This window comes from Homo sapiens, chromosome 18, assembly GCF_000001405.40.
Source record: "Homo sapiens chromosome 18, GRCh38.p14 Primary Assembly".
Lineage (NCBI taxonomy): Eukaryota > Metazoa > Chordata > Mammalia > Primates > Hominidae > Homo > Homo sapiens.
Window position 1 is genome coordinate 58,026,371 of NC_000018.10, and position 20,516 is coordinate 58,046,886.

The 20,516-nt window shown below is 44.5% G+C and overlaps 1 protein-coding gene across 20 annotated transcripts in view, besides 3 other annotated features; it reads left to right on the forward strand.

Annotated features, from left to right (window-relative positions):
- Positions 15,249-15,661: a transcriptional cis regulatory region, noted in NCBI's record as "candidate enhancer chr18.1280 targeted for multiplex CRISPR interference". NCBI's record gives its function as "positively regulates NEDD4L gene expression with high confidence in K562 cells {active_cell/tissue: K562}" and the evidence as "EXISTENCE:mutant phenotype evidence [ECO:0000015][PMID:30612741]".
- Positions 17,551-17,920: a silencer, noted in NCBI's record as "silent region_9482". NCBI's record gives its function as "represses an Ori minimal core promoter by ATAC-STARR-seq in GM12878 lymphoblastoid cells {active_cell/tissue: GM12878}" and the evidence as "EXISTENCE:reporter gene assay evidence [ECO:0000049][PMID:35858748]".
- Positions 17,856-20,516, forward strand: part of NEDD4L (NEDD4 like E3 ubiquitin protein ligase) — a 357,315-nt gene continuing 354,654 nt past the window's right edge. For 10 of the 20 annotated variants that reach the window (XM_006722426.5, XM_047437406.1, XM_047437407.1 and 7 more), the window contains exon 1: positions 17,856-18,338. In XM_006722426.5, the coding sequence (XP_006722489.1) occupies positions 18,291-18,338 (48 nt within the window). In that variant the 5' untranslated portion in view covers positions 17,856-18,290. Of the gene's footprint in view, positions 18,339-19,286; positions 19,419-19,563; positions 19,649-20,516 lie in introns of those variants that run through there. The other 10 variants (XM_024451129.2, XM_047437402.1, XM_047437404.1 and 7 more) reach the window with 3 other exon arrangements.
- Positions 17,941-18,490: a silencer, noted in NCBI's record as "silent region_9483". NCBI's record gives its function as "represses an Ori minimal core promoter by ATAC-STARR-seq in GM12878 lymphoblastoid cells {active_cell/tissue: GM12878}" and the evidence as "EXISTENCE:reporter gene assay evidence [ECO:0000049][PMID:35858748]".

Below are 20,516 nucleotides of genomic sequence, written 5' to 3' on the forward strand. Positions count from 1 at the left end.
GAATTTATAGATACAGTCAGCCTTCAGAAATATCATCTAATTTATTCACATATCCACTTTGTGAGGCAGGAAAGGGTAGGCTTATGTGAGTATCCTCATTTTCCTTACTGAAGTGGGAAATTCATCCTGGAGGAAGGATCTACATGAGAGAGACATTCATTGCCTCCAAGTGAGTATCTTTGAGTCGTAGAAGAGTTATTTGCCTTGAGGGGCCTTATATTGACTGAGAAAGGGGGGTGGGGGGATGAGGCATGCTGACTTGAAGCAAGACAAAGACAAAAAGCTCATTTACTTTCGTGATCTTCAGGCCTGTTTTGCTGCCGAGAGAGTACATCAGAATACTGTTTGGAAGCCCCCTTAATAAATGCAAACTGGATCAGAATTTCAGAATGACATTTGCACACATCAGTTGCCAACATAATATTCACTTATTGCATGATTATTTAATTGGTGACTCCTATGTACAAGGCAGAAGCTTTAAGCCGGGGCAGCAGTGGGAAACTTAATGTCCACAGTCCCTGCCTCCTGGAGCTTACACACTGGTGTTCCAGGGCAAAACAAAAACTAGTATATATATGCAGCTTAATCTCTACACAAAGAGGTTCTTCTTTAACAACTGCCAGTTCGCCCCTGTAATCCCAGCAATTTGGGAAGCCAAGCCAGGAGGATCACTAAGGCCAGCAGTTTGAGACCAGCCTGGGCAACATAGTGAGACCCCTGCCTCTACAAAATACTTATATTTTTTAAATTAGCCAAGTATGTTGGCTCATGCCTGTTGTCCCGGCTACTCAGGAGATTGAGGTAGGAGGATTGCTTGAATCCAGGAGTTTGAGAGCAGCTTTGTCAACATAGTGAGACTCTAGCTCTACAAAAAATTTAAAAAATTAGCCAGGCATGGTGGTGCACACTTGTAGTCTCAGGTGGGAGGATCGCTTGAGCCCAGGAGGTTGAGGCTGCAGTGAACTGAGATCATGCCACTACACTCAAGCCTGGGTGACATAGTGAGATCCTGTCTCATAAAAGGACAGGAAAAAAAAAAAAAACCCTGCCCCTCTGTGGTCTGATCTAAGGCCAACCCATTCCCTTAACAATCTCAATTGGGAGATCCTGGGAGAAAAGAGGAGGTGGGGCCAGCAGGGCATGTGTTTATACCATGTGGCTAAATGCTGCCTCTCCCACGCTCTCTCCTCGAACTCTACTCTTCATTTTTCTACTGGCAAACAAGACCAAGGACATCTCAAGTAACTCCTTGAGTCCATTAGAGCAGGCCAGAAGAGCTCAGAATCCAGGATTCCACGAGCACATGATCATGGAGGGTGGGTGGGGATGCTATATCTGTGTTTCCTCTTTTGAGAAACTAAAGGAATTGTGATAAGAGGTGAAGAACTAGGACAGTGTCAATAGAGCAAGGGAGAAGGGTACAAAGAGAAGATAAAAATCACAGGAATTTTTGTGGGGGATAAGGAAGGAGAAGTATCTAGAAGGATTCCTTGCTTTCCATGCAACTATAAAATAATGGAACTGATTCATAAGGAAACAGGTTTTGAGTACGGAAAATGCTTGATTTATTCTGACTTTGTTTGCATTCACATGGAAATGTCTAGTGAATGTAGATATATGAGTCTGGAGCTTCTAAGAAAACTTGGGCTGGAGATTACAAATTGGAGATCTCATACTTCTTGCTTCTCCCTACCGAACTTCTGTGATACCAGCCATTTATGGTTTTTTTTCTATCTCACTGGCCACTGCTTTTCATTTTCTTTCATGAATGCATCTTCTAACACCTTCATTTACATATTCTTCAGGCACCAAAACCCTTCAAACCCCTCTATCCAAAAGTAAACCAAATCATCCTCCACACCACTCCCAGGCTACTGCTACTAGCCATCTACTGCTTCCGTGCTCCCTGTCTCAAGAATGACATAATTATCTGCTTAGCCAGCAGATCCAGAAAACTGGAAAGGGTCCTCATTCTTCCTTCTCTCTTGTCTCCAACTAGCTCTTTACTCTTGAGAGGCTACCACTCAGATTACCTTTCAGATATTTCCTCCTCTTTCTGGATCTTTTATAGCAATCTTAGTTCAAAGTCCTTACCTGGGTCACTGCATCAGTCTATTGCTTTCACTGTCTTCAGCGGTGATCTTTCTAAAATGCAAACAGAATCTTATCACACTGACATTGCCTTCTTAGGTAGGTCATTTCCATGTGGTGGTAAAGATGACCACCAGTAACACTAGACTTGCAAACTATGTCATCATCTTTGGAACCTCAGTGGAAAAACCAAGCCATTTAAAGCGTATTCCAGTAAAAAGTCCAGCGTATGACTCTTACTGACCCACTTGGGTCATGTGCCCATTCCTGAACCCATCACTGTGGCTGGGGGTCTGGAGCTCTGATTGGCCATCCTTGGGTCCAGTACCTTTCTTCAGGGAATGGAGCCAGCCCCATCCAAATCAAATGGATGGAGAGAGAGGAAGGGTTGACTACCTCTAAATAAAGAGCAATCTGGCTATAGAAGGAATAATGAATGAAGGGTGGGCCCAAATCACAGATGTTTCAAAAATCTTTTATTTCACTTTTAAGAAAACCATTTCCTACATGTCTACCCTAATAGAGTCACATATGGCTCCTAAATTAGGCTTCTCACTCAGACTCTGTGTCTCTGATTATACTACTTGTTCTGTCTGGAGTTCATTTGGGGGATAGGTGGGTGGGAGAGAGAGGATAGTTTCAGTTGAGGACATACTGAATTTGAGATGTCCAGGAGTGGCTGTGTGGTCAGTTAGATAGATACATACACACTGACTTGGAGGTCTGGGACAGAGATATATATTTCAGAGTCTTTGGTGAAGAGATAGTGGTTAAAGGCAGAAGAGAGAAGATTCTCACAGGAGATATATAAAAGGTAGGAAGAGAGAAGAATCTAGCAATGAGGTCCTCAGAGTTCATTGGACAGAGGAGAAGAGTCTATGATGGAAACTGAATAGAAGAAGCCAAAAGGGTAGAAGGGAAAGCAGGCAAGTGTGGCATCAGTGAGTGTAGGGAATACAATAGAAAGTTTCCAGAGAAAAGAGATCTCTGTGGTGGATACCATTAAGAAAACAAATCAAATAAATAGTAAAAAGCATCCCCTGGCTGAAGTGGCATATATATCTTCATTGAAGTTAATGAAAAAAATGTCAGTGGAGTATGAGAACCAGACTGGAAGCCTGAGGGGATAAATGGTAGTGAAGAAGTGTAGACAGCAAGTGTAGACATTCGATCATGAAGAGAAGAAGCAAAATAAGGTGATTATTAGAAGAGGATGTGAAGTCCAAAGAGGGCTTTTTACAATTTATTTTTTTAGGTTGGAAGTACATATCTTTGTTTTTACTTTTTTAAAACTTAATCTTTGCAAATTAGGGAGGCACAGCCTTCCGTGTGAAATTAAGGTGAGTTCCCAGGTTAGAAGAACATTTGAATGCTGATGGAAAGGATCCAGTGGGCAAGAGAGAGGATGCCTGGGAGAGAATGCATTCTAGGCTTCCTTGGAATGACTGATCTCTAATAGGAAAAGGACAAAAAAGGAAAGAGGAGGACACGGTGTGGATGAGGATGCTTTCTGGGTGTGTCTGTGGAGATCTGTGTGATGATTTCTGTTTTCTCCTGGAACTAGGAAGCAGAGTGAGCTGTTGAGAGTGCAGAGAAGGGGAGGGAGCTAAGGACGATGGAAGCCCAGGTGAAGTTGGTAGCTGGGAACTCAAAGTGAGTGGAAACTGCTGAAATCCTTTACTTTCTTCAGTGAGTCTCAGCTACGCAGATTCAAGCTTGAATAAAGCAGAAACAGCAGAGGACAGAGGAAAGGGCTGTTTGGGAGTAATTTCAAAAGAAAGACTGGAACGTGAGACTGTGTTGTGAAAGCTGGACAAGAAAGGTGGTGAAGTTAAAACCAAAAGGTCTCAAAATTAGGAGAAAATGGAGGGGATCGTGCTTTTGGTGAAGTCAAAGACCATGTAACACTGGTTGGGGCATGAGAAGTCTGTGGTGAGTAAGCTGAGTTTGAGCCGGGCACAGTGGCTCATGCCTGTAATCCCAGCACTTTGGGAGGCCGAGGCAGGCAGATCACAAGGTGAGAAGTTTGAGACCAGTCTGGCCAACATAGTGAAACTCCGTTTCTACTAAAAATACAAAAAATTAGCCAGATGTGGTGGTGTGCACCTGTAATCCCAGCTACTCAGGAGGCTGAGACAGAAGAATCGCATGAATGGGGGAGGCGGAGGTTGCAGTGAGCCAAGATCGTGCCATTGCACTCCAGCCTGGGCAACAGTGTGAGACTCCATCTCTAAATAAATAAATAAATAAATAAATAAATAAATAAATAAATCCCTGAGTTTGAAGGTAGAGCAGTTTGGAGTGTTGATAAGGTCCAGGGCATAGAGAGAGAAGGTCACTAGATATGAGGAGGTCAAGGACCTGAGAAGCCAGGAGGGTGGGTGGGAATCTGGGCACCTGTTCGTTATACCATAGGTGGATTCTATGCCAGAAGTTGAGGTCGATAGAACCTCATGGTGAACCAAGTACCAGTCTTCACTCAGTATATCTGTGTTGAGGGAGGGGGATCTGTGGATGCCAGTGGCAAGAAAGAAAAAGCGTACATGACATGAGTCTCCAAGAAGTACTTTACAGTGTCAAACAAACTTTAATGATAAAATTAAAGAAAGTAAATGAATTTTCAATGTGCTGCAGTTTTAATATAGGGTAATTAATGCTATAAAATAACAGACAATTTCTGATTAAAAACATTTTTTTAGAAAGAAGTGTTCTAGCCTGGAGTGCAGTGGCTATTCACAGGCTAAATCATAGCACTCTACAGCCTGGAACTCCTGGGCTCAAGCGACCCTTCTACTTCAGCCTCCCAACTAGCTGGGACTACAGGTGCACACCACCACACTTGGACAAGATATCTGAGTTTTTAAAAAGTATGTGAGTATGCATGATTATGAGAAAGTTCTGCTATCAAAAAGCATAGGAGTTTTGCCAGCCACAGTTGTTCACACCTGCAATCCCACCACTTTTTGAGGCTGAGGCAGGTGGATCACTTGAGCTCAGGAGTTCGAGACCAGCCTGGGCAACATTGTGAGACCCCATCTCTACTAAAACACAAAAAAATTAGCCAGACATGGTGGCATGCACCTGTAGTCCCAGCTACTCAGGAGGCTGAGGCAGGAGAATCTCTTGAACTCAGGAGGAGGAGGTTCCAGTGAGCCAAGATGGCGCCACTGTACTCCAGCCTGGGTGACAGAGGGTGACTCCGTCTCAAAAAACAAGCAAACAAAAAATAGGAGTTTTGTTTGTTGCATACTAATTGGAGTTGAGGCTTCGATTAGCAGATCTTGGGGACCATACAGAATAAGAGGCCATTAGCTAGCAGGGCTTCCTGGAATGATCTATGAAAAGGTAACAAGGCCATTTCCCCAGGCTCAGTTTCAACCGTGGGAGACAGAAGATGTCTCTAGCCATGATCCAAAGATGTCTGGTTTTAGGATAAAGGGAAAGAGAGGAGGAGGTATTATATTTGTAACAATTTATAACAGTAGTTGGTCTTAGAAGTCTTCATGCTGAAACAGGCAGGGAGAATGTATTATTATAGAAGCCTTCATATTGGCTGGGCATGATGGCTCATACCTGTAATCCCAGTGCTTCGGGAGGCCAAGGCCAGAGGATCATTTGAGGCCAGGAGTTCAAGACCAGCTTGAGCAACATAGTGAGACCCTGTCTCTCTCTCTTTTTTTTTTTTAAAAAAAGAAGAAGTTTTCATACTGAAACAGGTGGGACCCTCCAGAAAAATCAGACTTTCTTAGCCATCACAGCCTTTCGGTGCCCAGAAATTTGCTTTCATTTGGATGCTTTTGCCCATCTTCGAAAATTCTAAGATTGAGCAGGTGGCCTGGGTGGACAAGGCCAATGGAAGCATCTCTGCCTCTCCCAAAATGCTTCTAAGGCCATTTCTCTCCTTCCAATAAGCAATACTCGCTGCTTCCTGGCAGATCTTCATTACAGCTGGCCCCAGGGAATTCCAGAGGCAACCATGCTCGGGGAAGCAAAGGCTGAGCTCTCTGGGCATGAAACAACACTGAAAGCTTTTTGTCCTAGTACAGGCGTGAGTCCTGATGTTTTTATTGCACCTTCACAGTTCAGAATTCACTTTCTAAAACTCCTGCTTTGTTTCCTGAGGATGGACTTCAGATTCCCTTAAAAATCTAGTAGGTACACTGGAAAACCCAAAAGAAATTATAATGCAGCCCCTAAATTAATTCAATATATTGCTATGAGTCATTGGATATGAAGGATTAAGAAACGTTGACAGCTTTTCCATCTGATACCCTGAGATAAGGAGGCTCATGGTGCCTAATATCTTACATATTTTATGTAGAAATGTGATGTCTGGACAAATGCAATAATCTCTTCCTATTGTCTCATTCTCAGAGGTCTCATCCTGGACTGGGCATCTGTTGCCCTTGTGTGTTCAGTGCCCTCATTTTATCTGGAGACCTTTTCTTTCCTCATGCTATATGGTCCCTGTGGGGCTGTCAGCTACTCTTCCCTGTTCTCTTCTCCCCCATGCACAGGGGTGGGACAGTGACCCAGTCTACACCTTCCTTGTTTGGTAGAATAGTTTGGGAGGAAGCAGTTCTTCCCAGCACCCCCAGCTTTATTAAGGTGTAATTGACAAAAACTAGGTTTTGTTTATGTTTTTTTTTCAGGGAGGGGGTGTAGCTTGGGATGCAAGCAGTCTCCTTATTTACTACATGGAAAGAACCAGACTGCAGAATGAAGCCAAGCAGAAACACACAGAGCTGAGAGATAGAGCCCTGATGATATCAGCTGTACTTCTAGACTCAGCCATGCTTTTCCACTTGTATACAAATGGTAGCCCAGGATAAACATGGTTCTGCACTTTGCTTTTTAAAAATTATTATTTAACTTGATATACCCTCAAGATTACTCCACATCAGTGTAGAGGGAGCGTCCTCATGGAGTTACACAGCGCTTCACTGGCTGGCTATACCAATAATTGATTCAACTACTTCTTTATTGGTGGGCATTTAGGATTGTTTCCAGTCTTTTGATATTTCAAATGCACATGTCACTTCATATTTTGCCAGTGCAGATAGTCTTAGACGTGGGATTGCTGGATTAATGAGGAAATACCAGTGTAATTTGCTAGACACAGACAAATGTCTCCTCACAGGGGTTGCTTTGCATTCTCACCAGTGATATGTCTTGTTTCCCCCGTGAATTTGCCAACTAAGTATGTTGTCAAACCTTTGGCTTTTTTTAATCTCCTGTATTTTAATCCTGTTCTCTTAAGTTTTGCCCTTCTTGAAAAGGCAGAGAAGTGGCTCAGCTCCAGCCATAGTACCACCGTGATAAGATGGGAGCACTCCCCAGGAATATGTTCAAGAGACATCGGTGAACAGAATCTAGAGTCTATGGAGGAATAATCTCTGTTGGGATCAAATTTTGACATAGTCGGTGATACTGAAAGAATAGTTCATAGAACTAGAAGATTATTATTCCAAAAGGGGTAGGAGTGGAGGGCGGACAGTGAGCATGATGGGGGTTGCATTGGGGGATGAGCGCTGGAAAAATTGTAAGGAAAAACATAGGATGTTTGTTTGCCACTATTAGCTGAAGGAGTTGGTTTTGTTATCTCAACTGCAAACTCATAAATTGTGAAGGCGCTACTGATCATTAAAGAGAATTTCCACTATGTGAATCCCCTTTCTCTTTTCCAATATGCACCCCCACCCACCCCTGACACACACAGCAGAAAGCAAATTCAACATTGTTGGAGACATCTTTGGAATTGCTAGTTGAGTCATTTAATAACTTTTTCTGGGTCTTCCTGCTTTTAAACAAACCATAAATGTAGAGAAAATCATCTAGAAGCATGCTTTGAAATTTCATTAGTGGAGTACTAAAAGAGTTCTAAAATGAGAAGACACATTGGTCACTTTTTAAATTACGTAGAGATTTTTCAGACTACTAAAGACATTGTTATTTTAAAAATAAATAATCACTAAACTTGTCAACATTGTTTATTAAAGCCGATGTTTTAGAATGCCTACCCTAGAGTTGAAGGACATCATTTATTTTGCTTTTTGGAAAATAAAAATGCAAAGAAAGTAGAAAAAAACCCAAATCATTTCCCTTATCTTGCAAAAATTGAACTCAAATAATTGAGCATTTCTGTGGCATCTAGAAAAGTATAGACTAAAATTTGCCATCACACTTCTTGTAATTGGTTGAATAATGGCCTCCAAAGATATCCAGGTCTTCATCCTTGGAACCTGTGAATGTTATTATGTGGCAAAAGAGAGTTTGTATATGTAATTAAAGATCTTGAGGTGAGAGGGTATCCTAGATTATGTGGGTGGATTCCAAATATAATCACGTGTCCTTATTAGAGGGAGGCAGAAAGAGATTTGACTGTAGACAGAAGAAAGAAGGTGGTATCATGACCTCAGCAGAGAGAGGGCTCTGAAGATGGTACCAGCTTTAAGGTGCAGGGAGGGGCTGTTAGCCAGGGAATACAAGGAATCCAGCTCTAGAAGGCAAGGACACTGATTCTCCCCCTCAGAGAGGGCCTTGTACCTTGGCCTGGTGACATTAATTTTGACCTTCTGGGCTCCGGATGTGCAAAAGAAAAAAATTCTGCTCTTTTATGCCACCAAATGTGTGGTAATATGTTACAGGGGCCAGCCATATCAACCAATTAATGCTTTTCCCAATTTCTAGGAAACAGGAACTTGATGTTTGATTTTAAAGTTCAGTACATGTGTTAATGGGGATGAAGTAGAATGTAAAGGTATGATAAAAATAATAATAAGAAGAACAAAAAAAAACAAATTTTAGGCCAGGCACTGTGGCTAATACCTGTAATCCCAGCACTTTGGGAGGCCGAGGCGGGTGGATCACTTGATGTCAGGAGTTGGAGGCCAGCCTGGCCAACATGGTCAAAACCCATCTCTACTAAAAATACAACAATTAGCCAGGCATGGTGGTGCATGCCTGTAGTCTCAGCTACTTGGGAGGCTGAGGCGGGAGAATCGCTTGAATCCAGGAGGCAGAGGTTGCAGTGAGCCAAGATCATGCCACTGCACTCCAGCCGGGGTGACAGAGTGAGACTCTGTCTAAAAAAAAAACAATCAACCAACAAACAAAAAACAAATTTGGCTGTGCTTCTTTTAGGAAAAAAGACTTAATTGCATTAAATCTCAAATGCATCATTAGTAAAGAGCGGCAACTGAGTTTCCTCGGCTGGCATTGTGGTGGTCTAGCTATACTGAAGGGTCTCCCTGTTATAAGTCAACCTAATTTTTTAAATGTGTTGCTAGGCTTGCAGTTCATAAGGGAATTCATCCTTTAAGGTCCCATATATTAGTCAGCTTTGGCTGTGATAATGATGTACAGCAAAAATCTCAAAATCTCAATGTCTACAACAGTAAGCATTTATTTCTAATTTGCATTGCATGTTGGCAGCTGTTAAGCTGGATAACCCTGCTCCAGGCTCCAGGTCAGGTTCAGGTCTGTTTCATGGTTCTTCTCATTGATACTTAAGGAGCAAAGCTCATCTAGGATGTGATGTTCTCATGGTGGAGGGCAGGAGCACAAAAGAGGTCCCAGAATCTTGCAAACCTCTTATGATGTCTGTTTTGAAGTGGCCACACTGCCATTTCTGCTAAGATTTCATTGGCCAAAGTAGGTGCAATAACACTGGGACAGGGACATTTACTGGGGGTGAGGAAGTAAATATTTGCCAAATACTAATATGGTCTATCATACTCCTCTATTAGCTAAAACCAAACAATGATGCAGTAAGCAGCAAGTAAATGCTATTAATATATCAATATTGCAGTTGAAGGGAGACTAACCCTTTGGCTGGTGGCTGAACCTGAGACTTCTGCACTAAATTGAGACTCTCAAATGGGGCTAAAGTGGCCCTAGAGTGGTAGGGTCCCCTGCTTCTTAGTAGAAAGAAACACAAATCCATTTTGGATTCCCATAGACTAAGACTAACCAAATAAAATCGCAACCAAATGAATTTCCAATCAACACACATGGAATGAAGTTACTATGAGTAAGAGTCAGCGGAAACAATGGAAGACACACCCCAAGCTTTAGATATGAGAATTAACAAAATAGAAAATAATTAGTTATGAAATGTTTAATGAAATAAAATTTGGAGACATAAAATAAGAAACTCAAGAATTGAGAGGCTGATTTGAAAAAGAATTAAATAAAACTTTTATTTATTTATAATTCATTAATTAAATTTTTTGAGACACTCAGGCTAGAGGGTAGTGGTGTGATCACAGCTCAGACAACCTCAAACTCCCGGGCTCAAATGATCCTCCTGCCTCAGCCTTCTGAGTAGCTGGGACTATAGGCATGCACCACCACACCTGGCTAAAAACCTTTAGATACAATTACTGAGTCTAATTGTTGTATTAAAAAAACTCAACTGATGGGCCAAACAGAAGATTAGACTAAACTAAATATTGATTTAGCAAAGTAGACTAGAGGTTTGAAGAAATCACCCAGAGTGTAGCAGACAGGGAAACAGAATACGAAAAAGGTTAAGAGATACAGAGAATAGAATGAGAATGTCTAACATATAATTAATTGGAGCCCTAGAAGAACAGAATATAGACAATGGAGAAAACAGAATATATGAATAGATTAGTAGCTGAGCATTTTCCAGAAATAAGATTTAAATGGGAGATAGAAAAAACGCAAAGTACATTAGGCAGGATGGAGAAAAGGAAAGCCACATGTAGACAAATTACAGAAAGTTTAGAACACTGAAAACAAAAAGCAGCTAAAGATAAGGCAAATGACTTAAAAGGGACAATAATTAGACTAAGAGCTTACTGTTCATCATCATCAATGGAAGCCAGAAATCAGAGAGATAACATCTTCAGAGTGCTGAGAATGAAACAACATTATACCTGGGATAAGACTACCCTTTTATTTTTTTCTGAAGGGTTGTTCTGTCCCCAAGAACCCTCCCAAAATAAACTGATTATAAACCTGAGACTTCAGAGTAATAGGGATTGGGTAAAACCAATCAAGGACACTAATCACATTAAGAACATCTATTTACATCCAGCCATGTTCCACAACAGCTTTGAGTCTATTTCTAGTATATAATTTCACCCTCTCTCATGGATGTGGATAGACATTTTTGGATAAACAAAAACTGCAAGTTTATTACCCATGGACCTTTACTAAAGGAATTTAAAAGGATGTTCCTAGGAAGAAGGAAAATGATCCCAAAGGAACATCTAAGAAGCAACAAGGAATCCTTAGAAAAGAAACTGCAAAACATATTGGTAATGCTAGAAGAACTTGTATAATATAATAATAATATCTAATTTGGTGGTTTCAAAAAAAAGACAGGAGCCAGGCATGGTGGCTCACACCTGTAATCCCAAAATTTTGGGAGGCTGAGGCAGGAGGATCGCTTGAAGCCAGGAGTTTGAGACCAGCCTGGACAACATAGCAAGACCTTGTCTCTAAAAAATTTTTCTTAAAAATAAAGAAAAAACTAAAAAAAAAAAAAAAAAAAAGCCAGAGCAAGACTGGTCCTTGATCAAAATAGTTTTTTAAGCTTCATGTTCAGATAGGGGATTAAGATACGAACTTTTGGTTTGTTACATTAGGCATTGTTAAAAAAAAAATTTCAGGCATATTAAATTTAACAGATTTTAATTGAGCAAAGAACAGTTTGAGAATCCAGCAACATTGCGCTTCCCTGGAATGAGAATAGGTTCAGAGACCCTGATGCTGCTGTGTGGCCAAAGACGGTTTATGGACAGAAAATGGGAAGTGACTTACAGAAAACAGAAGTTAGGTACAGAAATAGCTGAATTGGTTACTGCTCAGTGTTTGCCTTATTTGAACACAATTTGAAGAGTTGGCCTCTTTGATTGGCCGAAAGTCAGTGATTGATACAAGAGTAAGTTACAGTCTGTTTACACATCTAGTTAGGTTATAGCTCATTATGTATGAAGAAACCTTTAGGCTGTTAAACTTAATTTAACAGCATGCATGTAAAATGTCAAGCGTAACCGGTAAAAGAACAGAAATGCAGTGATTAACATCCCAACCCATCCCAAGTGAGGAAATAAATGCAGTAAGAAAACAAAGAACACTATCATTACTCAATCAGACGACTAATTAAAAGGCATGAAAAAGTACGTAGTAAAAATGTGAAAACAAAGCCAGGTATTTTAGAAATGATGATTTTTAAAAGGTAAATCGCTATCAGTAATAAACTAATAAACTATATTTTATTAATTTTAGAGCTCTAGAATAAATAGCACATAGTTATTCAAAAATGTATTTCTTTAAAAGCTTAGCTATTGATATGATTTGGATGTTTGTTCCCTCCAAATCTCTTGTTGAAATGTGATTTGCAATGTTGGAAGTGGGGCCTGGTGGAAGGTGACTGGATCATGACGGCGGGTCCCTCATGAACGGCTTAGCACCATCACCTTGGTGATAAGTGAGTTCTAGCTCAGTTAGTTCATGTGAGATCTGGTTGTTTAAAAGTGTGTGGCACCTCCCAACCCACTCTTGCTCTTGCTCTCACCATGTGACGTGATGGCTGCCCATCGCCTTCCACCAATGATTGTGAGCTTCCTGAGGCCTCCCCAGAAGCAAATGCCAGCACCATGCTTCCTGTACAGCCCACAGAACCGTGAGCCCATTAAACCTCTTTTCTTTATAAATTACCCAGCCTCAGGTGTTTCTTTTCTTTCTTTCCTTTCTTTCTTCCTTTCTTTCTCTTTCTTTCTTTTTTCAGGGTCTGGCTCTTTTGCCCAGACTGGAGTGCAGTGGTGTGATCTCGGCACACCTCAGCCTCAACCTCCCAGGCTCAAGGGACCCTCCTGCCTCAGCTCCTTGAGTAGCTGAGACTACAGGCGCAAGCCACCAGGCCCAGCGAATTCTTGTATTTTTTGTTTTTAGAGATGAGGTCTCACTTTGTTGCCCAGCTGGTCTCGAACTCCTGGACTCAAGGGATCTGTCCACTTCAGCCTCCCAAAGTGTTGGGATTACAGGTGTGAGCCACTGTGCTTGGCCTCAGGCATTTCTTCATTAATAGCATTGCAAGAATGGCCTAATGTAGCTATTTTTATACAAAAAGATGAGCTATTTACAAGTCATTCTTTGCTACCCACCTCTATATTTGTCAAAAATTTGAAGCATAATATAGATTTCTTATATGATCATAAACGGCTTAAATTTGTTACATTTCTGTGTGTCAAGGAATGGTGCTGAGTTCCAAGATGATACCAGTTTTTACAGGTTTGTGGCCATCTTCGAAATGTCTGCTTAATAGGCCTTCTTTTTAAAGAAGACAAATCATCACTGAAAATTGAAGAGAAAAATCGAGTGTTATTTATATGAAACTTAAACATGTGACATTATGTATTCTTCTTCTTTGGGTACTTCCCAGATGTGATTATGATCTACATAGTTTTGCTAAGACAACTCAATAATTTGTAAAGAGGCTTAGCATTAAAATGTTCCCTATTTGTGATTACCCATTGTACTTTAAAATTGTTCCTGCTAATTTTTCATTTCTGATGATCCAAGTGAAGAGTATTTGCCAAACACCCACAGTATCAAATCTAAGATGCTAAAGGCAGCCTGCAAAGGGAACAAAGGGAAACGAATTCTAGAGGAGACTCTACAAGTTAAGGTTCTATGTAATTGTTGGGTAGATGCAAAACGGACTGGAGGAAACATTGCTTTTGATACACCTGCTGAATAGTTCCCTTTAAGGGTTGTCCTCCCTCACCCCCAAAGAAATTGGATTACTAGGTTGGGCTAGGTGGCTCATGTCTGTAATCCCAGCACTTTGGGAGGCCGAGGCAGGTGGATCACGAGGTCAGGAGATCGAGACCATCCTGACTAACAAGGTGAAACCCCGTCTCTACTAAAAATACAAAAAATTAGCCGGGCGTGGTGGCGGGCGCCTGTAGTCCCAGCTGCTTGGGAGGCTGAGGCAGGAGAATGCCGTGAACCCAGGAGGCGGAGCTTGCAGTGAGCCGAGATCACGCCACTGCACTCCAGCCTGGGCAGCAGAGCGAGACTCCATCTCAAAAAAAAAAAAAAAAAAAAAGAAAGAAAGAAAAGAAATTGGATTACTAATCTGAGACTTCAGAGTAGATGATGGGTAAACTGATTGATGATGCTAGTCTTCTAAGTATGTTTGTTTATATTCTACCTCACTCCACAAAAGATTTGAGTGTGTTTATAACATGCAATTTCCTCTAAGTTGAAAAAAAACGAATGAAAAAACAGAGTGGTGGAAAATATATAAAGAAAAGGCATATAGGCTGGGCTCAGTAGCTCATGCCTGTAATCCTAACACTTTGGGAGGCCAAGGTGGGAGGATCACTTGAAGCCTAGAATTCGAGACCAGCCTGGGCAAGGGAGACCCCATCTCTACAAAAAACAAAAAACCTTAGCCGGTACAATGGTGTGCTCCTGTAGTCCCAGCTACTTGGGAGGCTGAGGTGGGAGGATCACTTGAGTCCTGGAGTTTGAGGGTACAGTGTGCTGTGATCATGCCACTGTTCTCCAGTCTGGACAACAGAGCAAGAACTTGTCTCTCGGGGAAAAGGAAAAGAAAAAGAAAAAAAAAAAGAATAGTAATATAAATCTAGGCCAGATGTCTCTAAACTTGGCAGTGGTGCATTAGGATCACCTGGGGAACTTTTAAAGCTCCTGATGCCCATGTGGCACCCTGTACTAATTAAATCATAACGCCTGGGAGTGGGAGGCAGAGAGGAGCAGTAGTAAAAATTCCCAAATGTTTCTATGTATAGCAAAATTTGGAAACTAAGCTGATGTTCTCAGCCTTAAATGCACATTAGCATCACCTGGGAGGCTGTTGAAACTACTGATGTCAGAATCCATTAAATCATAGCCTCTGATGCTGGTTACCGGGCACTTAGTCTATTTGAAAGCTCCCCAGGTGATTGCAATGTACATGCTGAGTAGAGAACCACAGCACTGGGGGAAAGTTGGTATATAGTTACAAAAGGGATTTTTTTTAATGGGTTCTTTTATGGCTTAAGACCATGAAACTGGTTCTGAGCTTCCTGGTGGCCAAAGTAGATAGAAAAACACAGTCGGTTTTAATAATTTTGGTCATCTGCCATGCAAAAGCTTACCAGTTTCTTGAAAGCAAAAGAGCTTTTCTTCATAGATCTGAAATAAATGTCTAGTTTATTAGTCTTCTCACAGAGGATGTTGATGTCATGGATCACGATTTTATAAACACCCCACAATAAGTGACATATGGCAAGTTTCATATTATAGTTCCTAATAACCATCCCTCAGGGAAAGACAAGGACATGACCCTGAGTGCAGGGCTATAGGCTGTTGCGGTGGGTGTGTGGGAGTAGATGATAAAAGACAGGAAGAGAAACTGCCACACCCCTCTACAGTTTCCAGATAACATAGCCTTACCCAAAGGCGAAGCCTGGAATTGTGTACCTCCAGGATGTGGAAGGCGTGTCCTGTGTAATTAGAAATTATAATTTTCTATCAGCACATTTTAAGAATTATTTATTTATGTATTTATTTATTTAGAGACACAGGGTCTTTCTCTGTCATCCAGGCTGGAGTGCAATGGCACGATCATAGCTCACTGTAACCTTGAACTTCTGGGCTCAAGTGAACCTCTAGTCTTAGCCTCCTGAGTAGCTAGGACTATGGGCCCATGCCACCACACCTGGCAAATTTTTAATTTTTTTTTTTTTTTGTAGGGACAGGGGTCTCTCTATATTGCCCAGGCTGGTCTCGAACTCCTGGCCTCAAATGATCCTCCTGCCTCTGCCTCCCAAAATGCTAGCATTATTATTCAATTACTTTTCTTCCTTTATAATATAAACTGTACAAATTTTACAAAGGTTTGGCTAGTGAGGGTAGGTAGAGAAGCACTGACTCCCATCCATGAGGGTCACAGGCTAGGGCAAGGGCATCTGAGAATGCGTGTGTGTGTGTGTGTGTGTGTGTGAGAGAGAGAGAGAGAAAGACAGAGTGTGCACGTGTACCTTTTGTTTATCAAAAGACTTTAGGGTTGTTTTTTTTTGTTTTTGTTTTTTTTGAGACGGAGTCTCGCTCTGTGGTCCAGGCTGGAGTGCAGTGGCGCAGTCTCGGCTCACTGCAACCTCCGCCTCCCAGGTTCAAGGGATCCTCATGCCTCAGCCTCCCCGAGTAGCTGGGATTACAGGCGCCCGCCACCACGCCTGGGTAATTTTTGTATTTTTAGTAGAGATGGAGTTTCACCACATTGGCCAGCTGGTCTTGAACTACCGATCTTATGATCCGCCCGCCTCAGCCTCCCAAAGTGCTGGGATTACAGGTTTGAGCCACCGTGCCCGGTCTAAAGACTCGAGGTTTGAAAGGGTTGAAAAACCTCAGTATTGAAAGAATGGACAGAAATCTGACTTTTAAATAGTCCTCCATAAATAGTTCTCATTGGGGGTTTTGTGGCCTGTAAGTACTGTGGACTTGACGGCTCAAGACTTCTAGAGAAGGCTTCTGAGTAGGATGTTGACTCCATGGGGCTAAGTCGTCAAAGGAAACCCATTCTACGGCACAGGTTTTAAGCCAGTCATGCTGCAGGAAGGCAAAGGAGAGCTTAAGGTAGCATGGGTGGGCTCTTTTGAAAACGAACTAGCAGGGCGAACAGCAGATATTTAGTTATGTAGCTGGCAACGAGGAATATGATTCCTTCGGGTCACGCGAGTTCTCTCTGAACTTCCTTGAATGAAAATCCTAAATGCATCCTGGTAATACCCAAGTAGGCACTTTGACGTTTCCTTTTCAAAGGCAAATGGAATGTTCTGCGTCTGTTTTCTTTTTGAACTCCCAACTGCACTTAACATCTAAATTTAAGGAAAGGCTTCCGAAAAAGTCGACTGACGAATTTCTTTCACTTATTTAAAGTAGTCTCTTGCAGTCCTATAAATCGGAAGGATTAAATGAACTGCTTGCTAGAGAAACGGTAGCTGGGTGGTGGGAAGAATCCTACGGTGGCTAATAAGACGTCTCGATCATTTGCATATGCAAAGGATAACCTTAAGCTTGAGTTTGATATTTCACGTTGCGGCTCACAAATGAACTGCTTTTTATTCAAAGAACCATGCTGTCTGTTTTCGCGTGGGTGGGTGTGTAACCGGGGCGGGCGCTATGTTGGTTTTGTTCCCTGCAAGGTTGACACAGGCAATGGCGACTTGCGGCCACACTGGGGCAGCCTCTCCTCGGCTGGCAGCCGGGCCGGGCGGCTCGCTCCCGGGAGCTGACAATGTAGCCAAGTCCTGCTCGTCGGGGCCGCAAAGAATTTAAAGGGGTCTAGAAACATCCATCTTTTCCCCTTTTCACAGTTAACAGCGAGCTCAGGGCTCTCGGTAAAAAGACCACCGGGAGGAAGAAACGCTCAGGGCGTTTTTGTTATTGTTCGCAAAATCCTCTATCGCCCCCAAACGTCCAGCCCGCCCCCTCCCTAAAGCGGAGGGAAACCGGGAGAGGAGGGAGGGTCGGCGGCGCCGGCCAAGCGCGCCAGTACACGCCCCTGCGGATCCGCCCCGCGGCCGGGTGACCCCCGCCGCGCCGCGCTGGAGGCCCCGGGCCGGGGTGGGCGTGGGGCTGAACTCCGCCACCCCCGCAGCCCGCGGCCCGCTCGCCAGCCCGGCCTGTGATTGGCTTGGGGGGCGCGTGTGCCCGCCCCGGCGAACGGGGAGGGTACCCTCGCGGCGCCGGTGGGAGGAGGCGGAGGAGGGGGCGGAGAGAGCGGGGGCCCGGACGGCGCTAGCGAGGAGGCGGGCGAGCCGGGTCCCCGGGAGCGCAGAGGAGGCTCGGAGGGGGGCGGAGAGCGGCGGGGCGGGAGGGAGGCGCGGGTCGCGGGGAGGGAAAGCCCGGCCGGGTCTGCGCCGCCGCCGCGCGCAGTGAGAGGCGCCGGGGCTGCCGCCCGGTGCTCGGCGCGCTCTCGGGAGCCGCCCGCCCGCTGGTCCCGCAGCCTTCCGGGAGGAAGCGGTGCCGGCAGCGTCCAGGGCGCGCTCTCGGGCACCCTCACCTGCCGGCGCCCGGCCGCTTACCCGGCAGGGCGTGCGCAGGGTAGGGTGCGGGACCGGGGGGACCTGGAGGCAGAGGGGAGAACCGGCCGTCCGCGCCGCAGCACAGCCGCTGGGAGCGCCTCAGACCCCGCGCGGGGCGCCGGCTCCATGGCGACCGGGCTCGGGGAGCCGGTCTATGGACTTTCCGAAGACGAGGTGAGTGGCACCCCCTTCCTGCTCGGGACTCCCCGGGGAGTTCCTATCCCGCGCCGGCAGGGGGAGGGGAAAGGGGCCGTCCCCGGGGTGCTCGTGCCCAGCGTCTGCAGGGGAGCCCCAAAGCGGGAGCGCCCCGGAGCGGGATCCAGGGGAGCTTGGGTCCTTCCGCACCCCCCACCCTCCGCAAGCCGAGCTCATTGTTTGTAAATAAAGCGGCGCGACGCCCTTGGAGCTGGGGGTTCACTCCGCAGCTCCTCGCTTTCGGGAGGAGAGGGAGGGGGCATGCGTGCCTCTCTTCCCTCTTCCTCTCCAAGCAGCGTCTCCCGGGGCTGTTGGGCAACTTTCCGCCTCTCGCCCCTGCAGCCCGGGAGTCCATGATGCATGTCACGTCTGGGTCGCGCGGCTGGAGACCCGGGACTGCGGAGAAGCCGGATCGTTTCCCCCTGGAACTTTCTCTCTCATGATTGTGTGGATCAGCAGGCGCTCAGAAGCCTGTGCGTGCTTATCCCGGCGGGAATGGGGGACACGCTGCGTGTGTCCCTCCCCTCGTTTTGCAAAGTCTACGGCCAGGATTGTGGATTTCGGAGCCTCGGTGGGGGAGGTGTTCAAGGCTGGTGGCAGGTGCTCCTGGAAACTTGGGGAGGAAGCTTGCAGCCCTGCCATTTTTTCCTCCCGAGGATTCAAAGCCCGGCACCTCCAGGGTGGGTGGGGAGAGGAAAGCTTAATTGATCTCTTTTATTAATAAAGCGACTGAATAAGCCACGCCTCCCAGGCGGTCGGTTTCACTGGAAAGGGCTTTGTTTTTACCTTCATTCTCTCTTCCGTGTCTCCCACTCCCCCCTTTTGAAACAATCCTGCTAAATCACTGCCTAGTCCTCTCTCGACCAGCCACGCTCGGCTCTTATTGGTATGTTGCTCTGCCAAAAAGGGGGGTGGGACGCTTGTCGCGGGCGCGGCGTGACAGGCAGGCTGGATGGAGCAGGTAGGAGTGGTTTGCCATCTGGCGGGGTGCGCGCTCAGGTCTGGCTCCCCTTTCGAGAGGTGAATTTTACAACCCAAGAAGCATTACTCAGCAGGGAGGTATTTCCTATCCTGGTTGTGCATTTCATGAAAAGTTGATGCCTGGAAATTCAGGCGTTCTCGATTTCTCTTTCTTCCCCTCCCTCCTTTCTTTTCAGAGGTTCCCTCTTTCTCTCGTGTTGGGGGTGGGGTTGGAAGAAAGGCTATTATCTGAGACAGGCTCGCGTTATGGCTCCGCTTTCTGCGGCTCTCCTACCCTGGCATGGTGTGTGTGTGTGCCTGTGTGCTACGTAAGTGTGGAATGAAAGGTATTTTGGGGTGGGAAGGGTGTTTAGGGTATGAATTTTTTTCTTAGCGGTGCTAGGCAAAGCTTGATGTATTTATTTGATCAAAGAATGATCACAGTGCAAATAATGTGTGATTTGTGTGTTTATTTTGCCTCGCTGTGCTTTTGTAAAATAATTTCCCGTTTTGTGTAACTACCTGGGGATAGGTGACAGTAGCATTGTTTCATTGACCCGGGGGGCTTCTCCTCTCCCTCCTGGCTTCTCTCTTTGAGGAGCTTTCCCTTGCATCCTCTACTTCTCCATTTAATTAGTGGCAGTAGAGGGCAGGCCCTGAGTTGCAGAGACGCAGACATTCCTAAACAAAGGGGCTGCTTGGGTTGACGTATTGTGGGGGGTGGGGGTGAGGACAGCTGCATTTCATCCTAGGTTCTTTTAAAAAATGTTTTAATAACATGATTATTTGTAAAAACTCCCCCGAAAAAACGATTTTAAGAGTGTTTTGGGAAGTGCAGCTGGATAAATGAAACACGTTAATGTCACTGTTGTTTGTGCTTTATTTACATTGGCAGTGAGTGTCAGAATCTACCTAGAGCACATCTTGCCACTTTTGTCCACAGGAGTCACTACTAATCATCATAACTGATGTCTAGTGTGAAAGTGAAGCTTGGAATGTAAACAGAGTCCGAGTGTGTGTTGGCATGTGACTGGATTCACTCCTGCATGTTGCTAGAAGGGAATTTGGGGCTGTATAGGAAATAGCAAGAGGTGATGAAGACACCTTTTATTATCTATTTATTGCCATGTCGCTGGTAGTATTTAGTTCCACACACATTGTATTTCACAAGATGAGTCTCAGCCGTCTTCCTTTTTC